The 16,762-nt window shown below is 37.9% G+C and overlaps 1 protein-coding gene across 11 annotated transcripts in view; it reads right to left on the bottom strand.

The window, feature by feature from the left end:
• The window catches only part of DAB1 (DAB adaptor protein 1), a 1,551,949-nt gene that overhangs the window by 288,539 nt on the left and 1,246,648 nt on the right, over positions 1–16,762 (bottom strand). For all 11 annotated transcript variants that reach the window (NM_001379461.1, NM_021080.5, NM_001379462.1 and 8 more), the window contains one exon: positions 7,648–7,850. In NM_001379461.1, coding sequence (NP_001366390.1) covers positions 7,648–7,714 — 67 coding nt within the window. In that variant the 5' untranslated portion in view covers positions 7,715–7,850. The remainder of the gene's footprint in view (positions 1–7,647; positions 7,851–16,762) is intronic.

Below are 16,762 nucleotides of genomic sequence, written 5' to 3' on the forward strand. Positions count from 1 at the left end.
GTGTCTTTTTCTTACCAACTACCCCATATTCCTCTAGAGAAAAGGGTACCTTCTACCTCTCTATATTTCCTATACCACTAGAGATGTGCTGCCTCTCAGACATGGTGGGAGTTGGGGGCCACAGAGGAAAGGAATATTTCTTAATCTTGATTCTAGGTATAGAGTTTCAATGCTAGGTTTTTTATACTTGTGAACTCATGGAATCCTCACTGCAACACTCTAAGATACGAACTACTATTATTTCCATTTTACAGATGAAGAAGTTGAGGCCCAGAAAGATTAGGTAGCCAGCCCAAGATAGGCAAGTAGAAAATGTGCTGAGCCTTGACTCCAACTTCAGTTTATCTAATTCTAAAACATGGGCTCTTTTCAGAAGTCTTCATTGTAAGGAAGAGGAAGCAAACACCCTGAGATGTTAATGAGGTGAATCCTAAGAACATAAGTTGTTTGGGATCTACTGAGTGGAAGGAGCTCCAGCCAGGGAGCCATTCCTGGGTTGCAACCCTGGCTCTGCCATTGCCCAGGGGAGTGACCACTGACAAATCATTTTCCTCTTGAGACCTCACCTGTGACAACCAGGCTGTGGCCTGCCACCAAACATTAACTTCTTATAACCTTTTATATATGTCAACTTCCAGAGAAGTTGTATATTCCAGAGAGGTTATTCACGTTTTAATGTATACAGACTTTCAGAGTATTGTGTTACTTATGTTTATTAAAATAAAAATGTACTTGCTTTTAGTCAGGAAGGCAATGAAAAGAGTTTTAATGAGAATCATCCTCATTATGATAAACATGGAATATTTTAATGAATAAAAATAAACTTGGAGTCAAAGTAAACCTTATGCATTTTATGAACAGTAATAGGTTGGGAATGAATAAAAGCAGCAAAGTAGAAACACAATATTTTTTCAGGGAAAGACGAGACATAAATATCAGAAGGCCCCCTCCCCTGCGCCACCCTCCCAGCTCACAGTTCTTTAACTACAGCGTGGATGACTAGAGTCAGAATCTCCTTCTAAGGCATTTCTCTGTTCTGCAGAAGACCAAGCATAGGCTGGGCTCATGCTGGAGCTGGATAAATGTTTGTGGACAAAAGAACTAATTAATTAATGATGCCCCGTCCTACATTTCAAAATTGGGCAAGCAAATATTATCTCTACATCCATTTGGTGGCTGAGAAAAGTGAAGCTCAAAAAGCAGAGGTGACTTGTCTGAAGTTAGACCATGAGAGAGTGGGGGGCTTAAAGTATGAACCCAAATACCCAGTATCTTGATTGACCCCAGGCTGCCTCCTCTGCAGGACAAGAGCAGCATATAGAAGCAATGATAAATAAGCCTGATAAAAAGATTGTTTTCTTAAAAGATCATTCTCTCAGGATCCTGATGACCTAATGAGATAATCAATATGATGGCAATTTATAAGCTCCTATGAGGTAAGCCAATGTTAGCGGAAGTTACTTCCCAGGGCTAATGACCAGTTGAGCAGTCATGACCCTGAGTGTGACATTACTGAAACCATTCTTTAACCCAAACTGACTAGAATTTTTCAAGAAACCTCCAAAAGTTAGCACAGCTGCGAGTTACAGAAGGTTCACACTCGGTTTGATGTGACTTCAAACCTGAGGCATCTGCCCTGTGATCACTGACTTCTGAATCCCATTAAAGCCTTGATTCTTGGAGCCAAAATTCTCCTGGGAGAAAATATGAAGGCAGCTTTTTGTCACTGTCATTGTGGTTAATTGATGATCCCTGGGTATAGCACTAATATGAAATATAAGGGAAGTAAAAAAGTTTCACTATTTCCAGGTGTTTCTAGAAAATAAGGAGGTGATGGTGAACTGTGATTTCAGAAAGAAGAGGACAGAGCACTAACACACTGACTAAGCCAGACTACATTGCAGACCCCAAGCTAGCTCTTTACTCACAGTATCTCCCTCACCTTTCTTTCTTTCTTTTTTTCTTTTTGAGTTTTGAGTTTTGCTCTTTTTGCCCAGGCTGGAGTGCAATGGCACAATCTCAGCTCACTGCAACCTCTGCCTCCCAGGTTCAAGTGATCCTCCTGCCTCAGCCTCCCAAGTAGCTGGGATTACAGGCGAGTGCCACCACACCCTATTTTTGTATTTTTGTATTTTTAGTAGAGACAGGGTTTCACCATGTTGGCCAGGTTGGTCTCGAACACCTGACCTCAGGTGATCTGCCCACCTCAGCCTCCTAAAGTGCTGGGATTACAGGCATGAGCACCACACCCAGCCCCCTCACCTTTCTAATGACAAGTGGAAATATTCACACACACATAAAAATACACAAACCCCTCCCTTTAAAGATAAGTGAAACCAGGCTCAAGGAGGCTAATTAACCTGTCTCTGGTTACACAGCACATAAAGAGAAGAGTTAGAACTAAAAACCAGGTCTGCTGTGCTCCAAAGTCAGTGCTCTTTCCACTACACTAAGCTGCCAGATGGCACTGACTGGAAGACTCCAGGCACTGCCCCCAGAAATATCTATCTGTTCATCATGGGACACGTTCCTCTACCATGATCTTCCACTGAGTGCCCTAATACGGAGATTACAAATAACAAGAGTAGTGTCAACTGATTGTCCTCCTTTGATGGCAGGTAACGAACCTAAAAATATACATTCTTTTCCTCAGGTCTTCCATCAAATTCCACTTCTGGAATGGGCACCATTTGACAAGCTGTATGTGCAGTGACACAATCCAATAAAAATAAAATGAAAAAAACAACTTTATTTTTCACTACTTACATCCCTCATTTGAATTGTGAATACTCTAGTTACATTTCATAAATCGCCTGCCTAGAAACTCATTTTGTGATGAAATATGCCCCTATGTGACTTGTATTTGAAACCGTCTGGCTTGCTTTCAACAGCCTGGGTTAAAGAACTAGGGTGATAGATTTGTGAGGAACTCTAAAGGGCCTTTATGCCACTCTTTCTCACAATAGATGACCCAAATTGTCAGGTATTCTTTTTTCAGGAGTTAAAATATCTGCCCCAGGAGTCATCTAAATCTTAATAAGAGGGGGAAAAAAAACACTTCTATTTTGTAATATCAGGTAATAATATAGGAAACACACTAATGTCAAATAACAAAATAGGACATGAAACTGTATGAAGAGTATGATGTCAACTACATATTATCCTGGAAGGCCAGTTTAAGGATGTAACTTCAGTTGTTAATAGTAGTTATTTTTGTTTTACGGAATTATGCATGGTTACTTTGTCCTTTCTAATTTCAGCAATAAGCATATATAGCTTTTAAAAAGTTAAATAATTGTAAAGAAAGTTAATATTTTCCAGAAATAGTCCTCAATATTATTCAGCATTTCATTCCTACCAAAAATCATTATATGAGGATATAACATTAACTGATAAAAATCATTATATGAGAATATAACATTAACTAATACCAGACACAAGGTTTGTCCCAGAAAAGAAGTTATACACCAATCTTGCTGATAAATATAGATACAAAAACCATTCCTTAACCTAACGAATCAAACCCACCAGGGTGTAGAAAATAATAGCATTACAACCAAGTAAGATTTACCCCAGAAATGAATATTTAAAAATCTATCAGTTAAATCTGCCACAGTATAAATTATAAGAGGAAAAATATGTATAATCATTGAAATAAATACAGAAAAAGCCTATGATAAAATTCAACATGCAAATTTAGAATTTAAAAACACTTCCTAGAAAATAATACATAAAGGGGAACTAACAAGGTATGTTTTGTTTTGTTTTGTTTTGTGACAAGGTCTGGCTCTATTGCACAGGCTGGAGTGCAGTGGTGTGATTTTGGCACACTGCAAACTCCAATTCATGGGCTCAAGCCATCCTCCCAACTCAGCCTCCTGAGTAGCTGGGACTACTGGCATGCGCCGCCATGCCTGGCCATTCTTTGCATTTTTTTTTGTAAAGATGGGGTTTCACCATGTTGCCCAGGCTGGTCTCAAACTCATAAGTTCAAGCGATCCACCCACCTTAGCCTCCCAAAGAGCTGAGACTATAGGCATGAGCCACCATGCCCAGCCAGAAAACTATCTTTAGTAAAAACTTAAACATAACTTAAATGTAAGCTAGAAGCAATCAGGAACGAGATAAGGACATTTATTATCACTAAATATTATAATGACAGATCCAGCCAATTAGAGAGAAAAAGAAGTAAGTACTTAAAGATTGATGAGAAACTTATTTGCAGGTTATATGCTGTCTCCATAGAAAATCCAAGCATAGTTGGAGAAAGTATTAGTAATAAAAGAGCATAACGACATGGTTATATTCAAAATTCAATATCAGTATATAAACTGTTTATTCCTTTTAAAGTTGTATTAATTTTGTCCAAGTTAGCAAATTTGTTTAATGAAATACTATTACATCATCAAAACTGAAGAACAAGAAATGAATTAATGCTGTTACCAGCACGTTTTCTCTCTCTTTTATTTATTTATTTATTTATTTATTTATTTATTTGAGACGGAGTCTCATTTGGTCACCCAGGCTGGAGGGCAATGAAGCCATCTTGGCTCACCGTAACCTCTGCCTCCCAGGTTCAAGCGATTCTCCTGCCTCAGCCTCCCGAGTAGCTGGGATTACAGGTGCGTGCCACCATGCCTGACTAATTTTTGTATTTTTAGTAGAGACGGGGTTTCACTGTGTTGGCCAGGCTGGTCTCGAATTCCTGACTTCAAGTGTTCTGCCTGCCTCAGCCTCCGAAAGTGCAGGGATTACAGGCGTGAGCCACTACGCCCAGCCCTTCTCTCTCATTTTAATATACATGTGCCTTGGCCCAGACAAATGTATAGAGAATAATAATTGTTTATCACTGTTTCACAATTATAAACAATTGCAAAATATTGTTCTGGGACAAATTAGCTATATACTTTTCAAGAGCCCCTTGGGTATAAAACAGAATAAGCAAAAATATCTATGCGATGGTGATGATGATGATGATGATACAGATGAAGAGGATGGGGGATGGGGGAGGAGGAAAAGAAGGAGATGTGGTGTGTTATGCATATCTGTGTTTCACCAAAATCTATATGTTAAAGCCCTGAACCCCAGTGGCATGGTGTTTGGAAATGGGGCCTTTGGAAGGTAATTATGGTTAGATACCATTGTGAGTGTGGGGCTCTTGTGATGGGAAAGAAGAGAAGGAAAGAGTTTGGTCTTCCTCTACCACGTGAGGACATGGTGAGAAGATGACCATCTATGAGCCAGGAAGAGAGCCCTCACCAGGAACCAAATTGGCTGGCACTTTGATCTTAGACTTTCTAGCCTCCAGATCTGTGAGAAACATGTTTCTGTTGTTTAAGCTGTCAAGTCTATGGTATTTTCTTGTGGCAGCTCAAGCTAATTAAGACAAGATGAATGATGAAGGAAGAGAAAAAGAGAAAAGAGTGGAGAGGAGGGAAATGGAGAAAGATGACAGGGAAGGGAGGGGAAGAGAAGGAGAAAAGGAAAAGGGAGGAAAAAGAGGAAGAAGATCACAGCTAACCTTTGTTAAGCATTTAATACATGCCAAGTAATAAGTATTTTATTTGCCTTATTTTCATTAATCTTCATAGTGAGCCTTTGAAGTCTGTAATATTATATACCCATTTTATAAGAGAGGAAAATGAGGATCAGGTTAAATACTTTCAAAGGTCACATTGTGAGAAAGTGGTAAAGCCAGAATTTGAATCCAGCTCTGCCTACCCAAATCCCATGATATTAGCCAGTCCATGGAGGACACTCCTCACATATGTATTATGTTGATTTCAGAGTTTTTTTAGGACATGAAGATGAGGAGGTTCAAAAAGGGTCACCTTCATGCTCTCATCCCAAATCCCCAACTGAGCCAATGTCCTGAAAACCTGAATCCTCTCTGCAGAATACTTCTGGTTTTGCATGTTAAAATGAAGAATGAAAAAATATGCACTAAGATAACATTTTTAATGCATTAAGCATTCAAGAGTGCAGGTTTAGTGGAAAGGTTAAATTTAAGGCAAAAATATAACTTGTCAGTTTCCACTGAAAAAGCATTTGAATTCTAGTACATACTGGGCTCTGCGACCTCTTTTTTCTTTTTCCACACAGCAGTCTCCCAAGACATGTTCTTTCACCCACTTACTTTCTTTCTATTATTCTTAGACCATGATGCATAGAAAACAAGGTTTACATTAATTTTTAGGGAACAAAATAGACTGCCTCCAAAGTATTTGTGTTTCAAATAAACATCAAAAGCAAAATTTATAGTCCTTCCTGGGCTTCTGGCTGTCAAAGAGCTGCATATGTATTACAGTTATGTCCCTTACTTCATATAGAGTGTCAGACAAATGCCATCACAAAACATAACTGGGCAGGCACAACGATGTCTCAAACAAATCACTGCCTATACAAAGAAGTCAAGGGCATCCCAGTTTGCAAGCCCACATTGACAGATTTCAAGACCTGAGAGAGAGCTCTGTCAATCCTCTCCCATGCAGCTGAGAAAACAAGGGAGAGAGAGCAGAAACTACAGGGAGAAAACACACACACACAGAGAGAAAGAAGTTGCTCATATTTAATTGGCAGGGGTGAAGCTTACTGAAAAACATGGTCCTAAAGCCATGGGGCTAAATTCTCCAGAAAACACGAAAAGTGACAGAATTACTTTATCATCACACTATGCCTGCAAATCTTCATTGCCAGATATCTCTGGCTCCTCTCTGCCAAGCACTTTCTAAGTGCTGAGACTTAAAATGTGAACGAAACATCTAGCTCCAAAGGAGTTTATGCAGGACATTTTTAATAAAGCAAAACACTAACCAAGTGCTAATGAAACAAAACAAATAAAAACATTTACATCAATTTTGGGAGTAAGAAAAGGCTCCCCCAGGAGGCTCCCCTAAACTCAAACCTAGTGAATAAGCAGGAGTCAGTTCAGGAAAAAAAAAAAAATGAAGAGCAACAGAAAAGGATTTCGGGCTGGATTAAGAGTCCAGTGGTTCTTAAAGTAGGGTCTCTGGACCAGCAAGACTGGCATCACCTGGGAACCTGTTTTAAATGCAGAGTCTTGGGTCCTACCCTAGATTTACTGAATCTGACACTTTGAGATGAGACTCAGAAATGAAGGCTTTATCAAGCCCTCCCAGTGATTCGGGTCCAGCCGGAGTTTGACAACCACTGGTACAGGCGATGATGAACTACAGAATATCTGGAGGGTAAACAGGGATGGGGAAGGGGGGTGGTTAGGCAGAGATGTTGCTGGAGGGATGCATAGAAGGCATATGCAGAAAAACTTTGTATATTATGAGAAAAGTTTTGGATCTTATCTGGAGAATAATGAAGAGCCATTACATTATTATATTATGAATACGAAACACACAAAATTACTATTTAAAAATATATGTGATCATAAAGATACTCCTTTATATCATTCCAGATATTTAAAAACTCATTCCTGTGCAGAAAAGTTTTGGATTTTATCTGGAGAATAATGATGAACCATTACATTATTATATTATTAACACAAAACACACAAAATAACTATTTAAAAATATATGCAATCATAAAGATATTTCTTTATATCATTCCAGAGATCTAAAAACTCATTCCTGTGCAGAAAAGTAGCCATTAAAAAAAGGTCAAATTCAGCCCTACCTTTCTTTCTGGAGTCTTTCTTGGCGCTGGTTTTCACAGCTACTTGAAGTTCTGTCTCAGTTGACATCCTACTTAATCCTTAGTCCACTTCACACAGATCCCGGGCCTCGGCCAGGCTCATTGAGGACTCTTCTCCAAGAGAAAGACTCCTCCCTTCAGAAATGACACTCTGAGCTGCACATTTCATTCACTCTTTTTGAGTGCTGCAAATCAAGGCAAGAGAACATTCAGAATCATCACTGTTATGAAGTTAAACAGAAATTTATAAAAAGTGAATTGGCAAACATATACAAACAAAATCTTGGTCTTTATGCAAAAACTGCTCCCATGGTTTCATGAAGGCATTGATAGGGTTTATACAGCAAAGGGAATGAGAGGCTTAGCGGCAAAACTGCTTCTCAAACTAGGTAACTCAAAATAGATCTTTAAAAGTCTAGATTTATAAGAGGGACAAAACCCAACTCTGTTTTCTATGTTTCTTATTTTCAAGCACTAGATCCCAACCAGAATATATAGCAAAGGTATGTCCTGACCAGCCCCATGGAGACATTTCCAATAAGAGAGCACCCATCCATCAGCCAAGCTTGATCAGCACCTTGGCAGCAAAAGCAGATCATATGGAAGTAACCTGTGGTCTGTCCCTCACTGGCAGGCATCAGAGGGGGCATGGAGTTGACATACAAATGGGCTCCAAGGATAAGGTGACAAATGGGGCCAAGAAACATTCCAGCAAGCCAATTTTTATGTCAGATTTTCCTCCAGCTATAAGAGCAGACAAGCATTTAATGTGCAGAGAAAAAGAAAAGAAACAGGCAGACACAGATTTCATTCATTCATTCTCTAATAAATGTGCATTGAATAATACCAGGTGCTATTAAACTCAGACACCGTGCTAGGAACAGAATAATGATAATACAACCACTTCACTTACAGGTAATATTTACTATATACCATGCCCTTAGCTACTGCTTCACATATAGTGTCTCACTCGATCTCATTTAAATTAAACAAATATACAGTATTCTCTTTGATAATAGTCCTTTCTTGTGACTATCTGATAGTTATATCTGAGAGTTCTATTAAAAAGTAAACATTTCACCAATTTCCACTTTTGAAAAATATTAAGAAAAAGCTATTAGAAATGGATCTTCGAATTGTGCAGCCAATTCTTAGTTCATCCCACAGATGTAGAATGGTTTAATAGAAAACGACTGACCTCAAATGCCAGTTTCAGTTCAAAAAGAATAATGACCCCAACCTCTTAATCATGACAATCTAGTTAATCTTAACCAGAAAGTCTAATATAAAAGCCACATAAAATTATAGTAAAGCTTCAATATGAGGAAATTCCCACCTTAATCCAAAGGTATCTGTTTTGTTTTATTTATATATAAGCTACCTATTTTTTAAAAAGGAAATGGCCCAAATGAAAGTACTTGATCTGGTGAATCTAAGGCTACAACTAAGAAAAACAGAAAGTTATCTTTGTAAAACAGGGTCCATGAAACCATACACAGAAAATGAGAATTTATCCTGTCACTTTTATACCATCTATCTATACCTTGTCACCAGCACCCACACCCTTTCCAGACCCTCGTCTCTAAGACAACGTTCAATGGGAGATGGCAGAGTCACAAAATTTGGTCATGTATAAACATAATAAAATTTATTAATAATATTTACCATTTCATTGCAGCAAATATTTAGTAAGAATCTGCTATGGGCCAGATACAAATACTAGCTCATTCATGTTAACAGACATTTACCATGTAACCATGCTGGCCAAGAGTACATAGTCAAGGGTTGTTTCCTGTCCTCCAAGAAGCTCAGTCTAACAGAGGTATCAGTCATGTAAGGGACGGCAACACACACATGTGAGCAAAACTAAAACAGGTATAAATACCACGCACACTGGGGCGGAAAGATGCAAGTATTCATCTTTGCTTGGAAGGGTTAATAAAGCTTCAAAGAGGATAAGCCCTACTCTGTGAGATGTTGAAAAGCTATGTTTCTGTCAAAAGGACGATAAGGGAAAGGACCACCAGCTTCTCAATAATTGTATGTAGAATGAATGAATGAATGAATGAGTGGTTGTCTCAGGCAGAAAGATCAGCATGTGTAAAAGCAAGGAGGGGTGAAATCAACAACCAAACCAGTAAAAGGAGGCACGACTCTAGCAGGGAGGTGATGCACTTCCCCATCTTCCCAGTTTTTCCTTGTGCTGCTATCTTTCTATGGAATCTCTTGTCTCAAGTCTGCCTGGACATTCTATTGAATCCTCAAGGTTCAGTTCAAAGAGACATCACAGGCAGAAAGATGTTCTGATCTCTGTAGCAAAATAGACTCTTTCCCAACTTATTTTATGATTTGATTTTTGGACAACTTCAGTTCCAGCCCCTTACAAGCCACATGATTTGAGGAAGTTACTCAACCTTGTCTTTGCCTCAGTTTCTTCATCTGTACAATGGGGATAATAGTGCCCACTGGGGGAGCTGTTGTGGCAATTAAGTATGATCACACACGTAATGTGATTGGAAGAGTGTCTGGCATGCCTCCTGGTAAGCATTTAATAAATATTAGGCACATAAATTCCTGTGCCACTTGCTCAAGGCCACCTGGCCGGTATGTGACCGAAAGTCTGTATTATCTCCCCTTTACAAAGGAGGAAATTGATACAAGTTAATTTTGCTGTCTCAGGATGAATTGTAGGAAATGGTATCATGTTGGTCTTGGACACAGTAGGTACCTAATCTATAAATTCAGAAAGTAGCTGAAATATATGGATTTTACACATTTTCAAGAATTTTTTAAAATCAATTGTATAAAACTGGATTGGATTTGGGCCATTTTCTCTTCTTCAACCTTATAAATCACAATATAGCATCTCTCCTTATTTCTATCTTCAAAGATGTTTGTTCAACAAAATATGATTATGTTCAAGTGTTACAAGCATTACTTGTGAATTTCTGAAGTACATCCCTACATCAATAATGAAAGGAAACCACCATCATTCTGAATAAAAACTTAAATAAGGAAGCTACAGTACTGTGAGAATGTACCACAGTGTGGACCCTGGCATCCCCTTTAATTTTCCAAAAGGCAGAGGTTGAGCAAATGCTGTGAAGTAACTCCAAATTATTTAGGAAATTCGCTTCTTTGTAATTAAGGAGATTAAAGTCCTCCAGGGCCAGAAACCATGTGACAACTCAAATCATTTTCCCCAGTAAAGGCTGTGAAATCCTATCAGTTAAATTCAGGCTTGCCTGGAATTTTGAAATGCTTCAATAATATTTCTTTGCTCCACACAATCTGCAGTAATTTAATATTCCTGAAGTGTGTCAGGTTTTTTATAATGAGCTCTTCAAATCTAAATGTGAATTATGTAACATTCCACTACAGACATTCTGTCTAGTGAACTGCTTCTAAAATGTAAAATTTCATGTTTATTGATGGGGTGGGGGCCAAAAACACTAAACCACAAAGCAGAGAAAACAGATATGCCTTTTTTTTTTAAACAAAGCATGAAGGTTTCAGCAGCTACAACAGAACAAACACACACTAAACCCATACTATAACACACATTTGTGTTCTTTCTTTCCCCCTTTTCTCATATAATCCTACAATAAAACAGCTATTATTTATTGAGGGCCCATTATTTGCCAAGTATTATGCTATGAGCTTTTCTGGCATTATTTGATACAATTCATTCAACTATTTTAAGAATCCAATATAATTATCTACATGAAACAAACGAGGAAACTGAGGCACAAGCCAGCTTAGGCGCTTGTCCAAAGCCACATAGCTAGTAAATAGCACAGCACAAGGCAAGTTACAAGACACTCGTCTCTCCAACTTCACTCAAAGCCCTCCCAGATTTCCATTAGTGGGTGAATGGAAAAACAAAATATTGGTGCAATGGAATATTACTCAATTGTATAAAGGAAATGTAGTACTGATACACACTGCAACGTGGATGAACCCTGAAAACAGCAAGGCAAGTAAGTTAGACAAAATATGTTGCATACTGTATGATTTCACTTATATGAAATATCCTAAATAGACAAATCCCTGGAGATGGAATGCAGATCAGTGGTTGCCAGAGGCCAGGGGAGGGGCATAAGGTTGAGGAACTGCTTAATGGGTATGGGGTCTTCTTTGGAGTGATGAAAATATTTTGGAACCAGACAGAAGTGAGGGTTGCACAACATCATGACTATAATAAATACCACTTTAAAATGGTTAATTTTATGTCATGTGAATTTCACCAGAATTAGGAAAACAAAACCCCTCCCAACCTGATATGAGCCTTGTGTGATAACACTAACGCCACTGCAAATTTCAGTTTAAAAACATAATGTAGTGCTAAAAGACAGATGAAAATGTAGTTTTCCCAAAACCAAGACTTTGAGTTTGTGTGGCAGTAACTGCATGCATTAAAACTGTATGTCACAATTGGCATGTTTTATGATTCGATATCTTAGACTTAGCTTCATCCAAGGTATAAAGCACAGAAAACAGGACATTTATCAACAAGGCCCAAAGGTTTATAACAGTACAGACAAGAAGCCTCAGTTTCCTCATCAGTAAAATGGGAACACCACCACCAAGTATGTGAGATTTGGAAGATAAATGAGATTTGGGCATTAAAAAGCCTAGCTCAATCTATAGCATGCTACCTTTTATCTTTACAAAAAGATACACAGGATAAACAAACCAGATAACATGGAAGTTGTTTTTCATAGGGAGAACTGGGTGGTGATGTGACTGGGTGCCAGGGTAAAAGGGTTATGGCAGAGGGTGATACTCCTCAGAATACAGCTTTTTGCATAATTTCCACATTTGGAAGCATATTAATGTTCTACATATCTGAAGAAAATTAAATTAATAGGGATGGTAAGGGGGATCGTAGAACTAAAAGCAGACTGAAGCAAATCAATTCAATTTTATGTTAAATGGGCATCATAAGCACACTTGCTAAACAGGTGGAAGAGAAAAAACTTTATCAAATAACTTATAAACACAGAATTGGATGGCACACACCCAGTCTTGGGTAGAGTTGAAGCAAGAGCAGCAGCAAGCAAATTCTGAGGTCTTTTTAGCAGGCTTGTTTTCTGTAGTGTTATGAGCAAAGCAATTCTGAAACTATTTTCGATGTTCTATAGAATGGAGCAAAGGAGTAAATGCAGATATTGTTGGGAGCCAAGCTTCTCCTATGGGACAAGAGATGTTAAAATAGGGAAAGGAAAGCAGGAAAGAATGCTAAAGTGATAGACTGAAAATTGTAGGTTTCAAAGTAAACTCAGGATTTATAAAATATGCATGCATCTGTATATAAATGTATAGGTATGAATGTATATATGTGTTGATATGCAACTATTTCCTATCTCTGTCCATTAAGAGGGCCTAGGAGCAAAGATACTCTAGCAACAATGAGATAACTAATACTTAGATTTTGGTTTCTGTTATCATTTTTCAGCAAAAGAAACCAAGGTTTCTTGGGGGAAATGAATTATTTCAGAGCTGGCGCATGGCAGGTACAAAATGAGCCTGAAATATCTTGTTATTCCAGAAATTAAGTGCTCAAAACAAACAAAAAATGATGAGAGAATTTTATAAAGGATACAGAAGCCATCATGAAGAGTTCTCACCAGCCTAATTAGGAATGATTTAAATACCGATATAATTAAGGATGGTAATAAATAATAAACCATTGAAAAAATAGAAATCCACAAATCTATACTGATGACAGACAGACAAACAAATGGGGTAAGAATGGAAGGCTGTCTTGCTTATAGCAGAACAGGTGCTGACTGGTAAACACAAAGGGAGTGCTGGAGTTATCAAATCAACATTTTGCAGCCATCAGAGTAAAGACTGGTCAGGCAAGAATCATCAACAGATGCTAAGTCCGGGAAAAATTTTTGATAAGAAGCAGAATATTTGCAGGTCTTAAACTGTCTTCGCACTTATTGTTTATCAGTTCCAAGGGAAACTTTGTAATTATACAGTGGAGAAATTGGACAAAACGTTGTTAACAAAATTAACATCAACAAACAGGGGCAGATGGATAGCATGTGATACCCTGAGCAGAACATAACATCACTATGCAGTACTGTGTAGTGTTCTGGCCAGGAATCTAATCAGATTAGGCATTTAAGAAATCGGAAGGGGAGAGCTGTATTCACTGAAAATGTAATAAAAGACAAAGAGAAGCTGTGGAAATATTTTAGATTAAAAGAAATTAAGCCAAAATAACAATTAAATGCCATATCTATACAGGATATTGTACTGGAGAGAAAAGAAATGTTAGCCCCTCAAAATTATTGAGCCAGTTGATAAACTTGAATATGAATGGTAAGTTAGGTAAACATATTGCATTAATGGTAAATTTATTTAACTTGAAAACTTTCCTGTGATTATATAAAATAATATAGCTGTTTTTAGGAAACACACTAAATATTCAGGAGTAAAGGGCCAAGATATGTGCACCTTATATTCAGATGATTCAGAAAAAACACATATACATGTATACATGTATGTGTATGCATATATGTGTGAATATATATATATGTATATACGTACATACATAGAGAGAAAACACACAAATGATAAATCAAGTAAGATAAAATATCAGCAATGAGTGATACTAAGTAAAGGGCATTGGGTGTTTTTTGCTTATTCTTATGCTTATACTTCTTCCTGTAATTGTGAGATTATTTCCAAATTAAGAAAAGGGAAAACAAAGCCTAGCTCAAACTCTTAACACAAAGAAATATGTAACTAAGTCCATTCTGGCCTCACTTTTCTCCTAAGTTCAAACCCATTCCAGCTTCCTAGATGGCATACTTTCTAATTCCCAAGGCTAGCTGAGTTTAAAATTATTTTATGGCTGCCAGTTCTGATTCCACCTCCACCCCTGTAACTCCCCAGACTGCCAAACTTGGCAGAAGTCTATGGACCAAATTTGCACGGAACAGGGTCCTTTCTTCCTGAGCTCTAAGCTTCCTCTCTAGACTGTATTCCATGCCCACTCAGACTTTACATCCTCCTGCCCCCTGGACCACTGCAGGTTCCTTTAATTACTCAGCCTAAGTAGGCCTTTTGTAGATTATCTCCCTCTCCATTCCTGGGACTATGTCATTAACCTGTCAATCTTTTTTTTTTATTTTTATTTTTTAATGTCAAAGGCTATCTGATCTGACCATGGCAATTTGGAAAAGGCCTAAAATTCCCCCATGCTGCATATTTGATTTCTTTAGGGTCAAGACAATAGGAAAATGTAAGGCTTTGCAGGAACCCAATGGCAGCAGTTCTATAAAGCTGCTGTAGGTGTGAAAGGTACAAGTGCTATAGAAACTTTTGGCAGAATATTGAGAGACGCTGTATCTTTCTGCTAACAGAGGTCCACCATCATTGCAGCAGATGTACAATCATCATCTACTTTACCAAAACTTTCAAGAAAAATAACACGGTGATAGGACATATTCCTAGCTTTAAAACTTTGAAGCTCACAAAACTGATAGATTGACAGCCTTGGTATGGATCCAATCAAAGCTCTCTTGCCATAACTGTAACAAGAAAGGGGAGAAAACGAATCACAAATATGGGAGACATATCTTAGCCTAACAGCTCATCTTCACGATGTGGCATTGTTAGTTGTATTTACCCCACGTTATGAAAAAAAAACAGAATTTTAGGCAACTTACCAAAAGCCTTATAAAAGCCATTTTCCATAATAGGATAAACTAAATAAACAAGAAAGTTGGAGCAAAGAGACACAAAAAATTAGAAATGAAGATGAGGGCAGAAGCAAGAATAAGACATCAAAAACATTGATATGGCTGTAGAAGATAGGCTATATGTTTGGCTATGAGATTCCTAGAAGCCAAAGCAAAGAGAGAAAAGATCAGTTACAATTTCACAAAGTCTATAGAACTTTTTTTCCCTTTGGACCAGAAGTGGAAAAAGAAAACTGCCTATCAGTTTTCATGAAATTGACACCGTGGTATCACAAATGTCAACATAAGCAGTGTCTCTATAAAATTCTGAAAGAGAATATTCCACATCTCTTACTGTATGCTGAGATCATAAAACTAACACTGAGAGCATAATACTAGTAGTACCACTTTTAAATAGGGTCCAAACAATGTGGCCAAAATCCATTTAAGTTGTTTATGAACAAGGCATATTTTCTTTTTATTAACTAAATTGAAAGATAAATAAGTGGGATCTTGCTACACAGTATCTGATGGTCTAACTTTTCTAAGGTAAAATCTTGAATTAAACAAACTAATCTTTTTTATCAGTTTACTCATCTGTAAAATGGAACAATAATAGAATAATCTTATAGATTTATGTGAAAGTATTTTTGGAAAAATAAAATGCTATGTTCCAGAAGGCAGCATTCTTGTTATTCAGACATCAGTCAATCTTCGGCAAGGCAAAGAGGGAGGGAATACAATGTGTTTCTGTAATCAAACTCAAAGCTAACAAAAGCCAGAACCAGGTTTTAGCAACATTAAACGAATTTATTTGACAGCAACATGGCATACTCAGCAACATTTCATTTAACTAATGGATCACATAGTTTCATTAAGTATCTATAGCACCATGAAAATTCATTACATAAACTCCTAGGGTATGAGAAAAAAACAAGTGCATAAACCTAAAATAATTCCATTAGTGTTTTCAATACTTGGGACCCCAGTTACATCCAACCTTCTAAAATTCTCACCTCTAATTTTACAAAAACATATCTACCAGTAGTTGGCAGAATGTAAAGCAGCAAGCTGTCCAAGGGGCTGGGCTGGAAGCCTGCCTGACTCCGCCATTGACTGCCTAGGTAAATTTAGACCTTTAAGCTCTTTCATCAGCCTTGGCCTCAATTTCTTCATCTGTAAAATGGGAATACCTTTTTATCTCGCTGGGCTTACAGGAGACCAAAATGCACAGAGCTATATAAATTGTCATAGCTGCTTGCCTTGTGTTCAGCTCATACTCTTCTCCCACCTCCCCTTCTCTCCTCATCCTCTTTTTCTCTACCCTCTCATACAGCTGCGTGTCTGTCTCCCCGGCAGGCCTTAAACTGTCCCAACCCCGAGTGGGAATGTGCCCT

The sequence above is a fragment of the Homo sapiens genome, chromosome 1 (assembly GCF_000001405.40).
Source record: "Homo sapiens chromosome 1, GRCh38.p14 Primary Assembly".
NCBI lineage: Eukaryota > Metazoa > Chordata > Mammalia > Primates > Hominidae > Homo > Homo sapiens.